We start from the raw sequence: 5,085 nt of genomic DNA, 5'->3' as shown, positions 1-5,085 counted from the left end.
TTCAAAAATAAAGTGTCATTCAGAAAGTCTTTATTTCATCCAACAAAACAGGTAAAAAGACAATCACGAAAATGATAATTTGCACAGAAAATCTGAATATTCTACATATGAGAGCAAGTTCTTGCCAAGCAATTCATAATTTAGGACATTTGGCAGGTGGTTTATTTTGGAATACATGTCTAATAGCATTAAATGTTTGAATCAAACAACAATATTCTGTTTCAATCGCATACCCATCAAATAACATTCTGAATAAAATTTGATTTTCTGTGCTAATTTGCCTACAGGGAGACAATACATTATCTCTATTGCAGAGAGACTCTAAGTTATAAATTAACAAATTGTCATTCTGATGTTTTTCATCAGCTTCAGAAGCTCAGTTACTAGGAACCCACCTTTAAGGAATGCAGAGAACCTTGATTTCTGGCAAGTCTTGTAAATGCGGCAAGATGGTGTCTGCCTGTGAGTACCTAAGAAGGAAGCCAATGGGTCCATTCCAGGCTACATTCTCATGTATTTTTGGTTATTGTAAGCCTTTCCTTCCCCAAACTACAGTATCTATTTTGCGTTGTCTGTTATCATTTTATGTTTAATAAATATTTTTGTTAAAAGAATCAGTATGTATTATCTTGGATTAGAAAACATATAAAACCATTCAATTTATCTCTCTATTAATTTATTTCTCCAATAATAATTACAAATGTACTCATTCTTCTTTCTCTAAAATAAGATCATCCCCATTTTAATAATTTAGTGCAATTTTAAATGTTGAATAGTCAGTCATATTTAGAAATACAATTCACATTGAACCATAAAGTAAATATCCCTTGGGTATATAGTTTATAAAAATTTATCTTATCAATTTTATTTATATAATTTTACTTATTTGATATTTTAAGAACAAAATATAAAAATGTCAACGAAAGAAACACCCATCCTTTGGAAATATGATTCATAATAATTAAAATATCAGTTATTTAAGTGAGAATTCAAATGTCCTGCAACATATTCAGAATTTCCTGAAAAGAGATTTGCATTATTGAAATAAAAATGTAACTTAGAAATTGAATCATTAAACTATATTTTTAGTACAATAAGTATACTTTTAAGTATCTCACTAAAATAGAGATACGAAAGAAAATAAAAGTTTATATGTTTACCATAACAAAAGTTCCGTATGTTTAACATAAAGGAAAATGTTTTGTTGTGCTTCAGAAATAATTGTAACTTTCTCTTTTTATAGGAATGGACATTTCTACATTATTCTGGAAAGTATATTCAACACCTAGTGAGATTTCATCACTCTTTATGAAATAAGAACACAACCTAATTTTCAATTCCACATTGCATCACGTAAGTTGTACATATTCTTTGGAAAGAGAATAATAGCTGAGGACCTCTGCTGCCCTTGACAATTTTAGATTTTTTCTTGTTTAAGTTTTGGAAACTTGGGTTGTCTCTTGTCAACATATGTGTATAAAGTCTTTTCAGAAATCAGAGTGTCCTGCAAGGTTTGAAACCCATGTGGATAATTTCCATGTGATTTATGCAGAAGAAATTACTCCTAAAGTTGAACATGTTATGGGAATACATGCATCCCCTGACTTATGAAGGCTTTTGGAAGTCTCATACATCTCAGACATCAGGAAACTTCCAAAGGAAGTAGGAATCATAATTCAAAACCTTTCCTTTTTGATAAAAACATTCACTTTAGGAAATGCTAATGAGTTATTCTAAGAACCACCAACCCTCTTCCATTGCAAATTCTCTTTATAGAGGATTTTGTATGTGGGTTATTTTTAATTTTTAATCAAATAAAAATCCTGACTTGAAGTTATACCAGATTCCTACTTCCCTCTTTTCCCCCTTCTTACTTTTGTTCTTTCTTTCCCACCCCACCTCCCCTCTTGTTTTTCAGACAGGGTCTCGCAGTGTTGCGATTCTCTTGCCTCAGCATCCCTAGTAGCTGTGAATACAGGCATGTGCCACCACGCTCGGCTAATTTTTGTATTTTTAGTAGCGATGGGGTTTTGCCATGTTGCTCAGGCTGGTCTCGAACTCCTGACCTCAGGTCATCCACCCCACCTCAGCCTCCCAAAGTGCTGGAATTACAGGTGTGAGCCACCATGCCCAGCCAATTTTTTCCTTTTTTTCCTTCTTTCCTATCCTTTTTCTGTGCAGCAAAATTTTAATAATATTTCGATGAGTAACAGGACCCAACCTAATTCCCCAGTTTCCAATCTGACTCGTGGGTGTCACAGCTCTTGAACTGAAAACACTGAGATGTGGAGAAACTGCCAGCATGAAAGAACAAAGGCTAATAAAAAGTTACCCTGAAACTGAGCTTAGAGGCTGCACTGGTGCATTCAAGGAATAAATTAATAAATTCCGAGCTTACTGTTGGTAGAAATCAGTGGCTCAATAACTTTTATCTTTCCCTAATCTATCAAGAAAGTATATCATATTGTTAGCATTCATGCAAAAACCATTACTCAGAGTAGACAAAATTCCCATTAAAAAGTGATTTTCTTGTTTTCTAACAAAGGAAGAAGTACTAATTGGACATGGATGCACATATGATGGAAATCGCAGGGGCCAGAGACCTGGGCTGGAGCAAATTGTGGTCTGGATATGATTAACTCTAGAAAATCTCAACTGTGGTTGCTGTCATAATTCCTAATACCTGTAGTATAAAAGAACTTTATAATATCTGACTATTTGGCAACCTCAGTGTTAAATCTAAAGTTTGAGCATGAGGTGGACCTAGTTATGAACTTTTCACAGGTTGGGGTAAATGATAAAGAGAAACATTTCTAGTAAAAATACTAAAGCCCACATCTGCTCTTTTCAGTTCCCACTTCCAACAATCTAATTCACTCTCTTGTCAACTGTAGTTTGAATGAATAATACTGATCTCCACATCTCACGTTTAATGTCTATCCATTTTATCTCTCACACTGCTTCCAAAATATTTTTTGTAAAATAATACTTTTGTCCAGCTTACTAGAAAAAAATCTTAAAGAGCCCATTAATAACTGAGTATATACTTGCTTTCAAAAACCTCCACAGTCAGGTACCTATATACGGTTTCAACCTTAATTTCTTCTCCTCACTTGCACACAATTTCCAATCTAGTTTAACTGGGGTCCCACTGATATAAATACAGTTTAATGCCTTAGGTACACAGTGTTAATTATTTTCCTCCCAATTCGCAAACATCTTCTATAAATTTAAACTTTATCCTTTCTCAAAACCCAGTTTGGAGCCCCCATTTAACCGCAACTATCTGTGAAATACTTAATGCCAAAACATCCTTTTCTTGTCTGTTTCTCCAGAAAACAGCTTTAAATTGCCTAAGCCTCATCTTTGCTTGCCAGTAGTTACAAATTTTGTATCTTCTAGGTGAGTTGATGTGTCCGTTAAACTTTTTACAAGTACATTTACCTCCTCCACATTAATAATGTGTTCCTAGTGTCCAGTTCTTTGCATGTATTAAATTTTCAGAATAGTTCATTTATTGATTTATGTATTAACCAATACAATTAGAGACACAATCAAGAAATATGAATTATTGCTACCATCGTGTATTACACCCCATCAAACTTCTCATTGCAAAAATAGAAAGACATGCCTGGATTTGGTTAAGTTACTAGAAAGATAACTATGTTACTATCAGATAAATATGTTACTAGGTCAAATAATCAAGCTTATCTAGTTGGCTAGCTCAAAATTCTCAGTAATTAACATTATGACATTTGTGAACAGCTTCCATAAACTTTTGAATTAGGGCTTTAAATCAGAAGAATAAAAAGTGTCATGGAAGATATGGCTGCATCTGCAGCTCCATAGGAAGAATCCCCACCTGCATAACTATTGGTTGCTGTGGCTAATTGAAGGTATGCAATGTCCAAATTTATAAAGTAATACAAATTGTCTTCTGCCTCCGCAATCTTCTTGGCCTACGATCTTCCTCTGCCAACCCACACTGGAATGCAATTTATTTTTCAAAATCCACCCCAAATACTGTTATCTTCATAACCTACTTTTTTTTTTCACTTCAGCTGGCCCTCTTTGAGCCAAAACACCAAAAAAACTCATTAATTATCCTTTTAAATGGGTGATTGACTTTAAAATATTCCTTCTGAAATGATTATTCACATTACAGCATTTTCTTTAATTAGACATTAGGACTTCAAGCCTTCTATATTATAACTGTTTTTCTTTCCCTCTCACTATTCCAAACCCAGTGGAATTTCAACTGTTAGCTGGGGAGATTTTTGTTGGCAGAAGAGGAGAACCCTGCCGTACTTACTGTTAACCATAGTATTTGTCCATAGAAACAGAATGTGAGCCTTACAGGTAATTTTAAATATTCTAGGGGCTACAATTTTTTTTTTTTTTTTTTTTTTTGAGACGGAGTCTCGCTCTACCGCCCAGGCGGGAGTGCAGTGGCGCAATCTCGGCTCACTGCAAGCTCCACCTCCCGGGTTCACGCCATTCTCCTGCCTCAGCCTCCCCAGCTGCTGGGACTACAGGCGCACGCCACTACGCCTGGCTAATTTTTTGTATTTTTAGTAGAGACGGGGTTGAGGCTACATTTTTTTAAAAAAGCAAGTAAAATTAATTTTAATAAACTACATGTCTTCAAAGCATTCAATTTGTAATACATGTAAAATTTATTTGTGAGTTGTTGTGCATTCTTGTGTTGCACGGAGCCTGTATAATCCTGTGTATATTTCACACCATGACACAGCTAAACCTGACTAGCCACATTTTAAGTGCTCAGTGGCTATGTGGGCTAGTAGTTATCCTATTGGAAGTTTAGGCTAGAGGGTGATTCAAGGAAAGGTGGAACAGGTCAGAAAGTCTAAAATCTGTTCCCCACAAACAATCCCAGATCTCCAGAAGCTGGGGAAACAATCACAATGTAGGAGAAAGTACATAAAATAAAGTATCGGCCCGGCACGGTGGCTCATGCCTGTAATCCCAGCACTTTGGGAGGCCTAGGCAGGCGGATCATGAGGTCAAGAGATAGAGACCATCCTGGCCAACCAACATGGTGAAACCCCATCTCTACTAAAAATA

At 35.4% G+C, this 5,085-nt stretch overlaps 1 long non-coding RNA gene across 1 annotated transcript; it reads left to right on the top strand.

Annotated features, from left to right (window-relative positions):
• Nucleotides 1–409: 409 nt before the first annotated feature.
• On the top strand, nt 410–2,767 carry LOC105378337 (uncharacterized). Its single transcript, XR_946021.2, has 3 exons — nt 410–462; nt 1,244–1,353; nt 2,546–2,767. It is a non-coding gene; the product is annotated as an uncharacterized LOC105378337 (long non-coding RNA).
• The last annotated feature ends 2,318 nt before the right edge of the window (nt 2,768–5,085 follow it).

The sequence above is a fragment of the Homo sapiens genome, chromosome 10, assembly GCF_000001405.40.
Source record: "Homo sapiens chromosome 10, GRCh38.p14 Primary Assembly".
NCBI lineage: Eukaryota > Metazoa > Chordata > Mammalia > Primates > Hominidae > Homo > Homo sapiens.
Note: the sequence above shows the minus strand (reverse complement) of the source record. Positions and strands in the feature narration are given on the sequence as shown.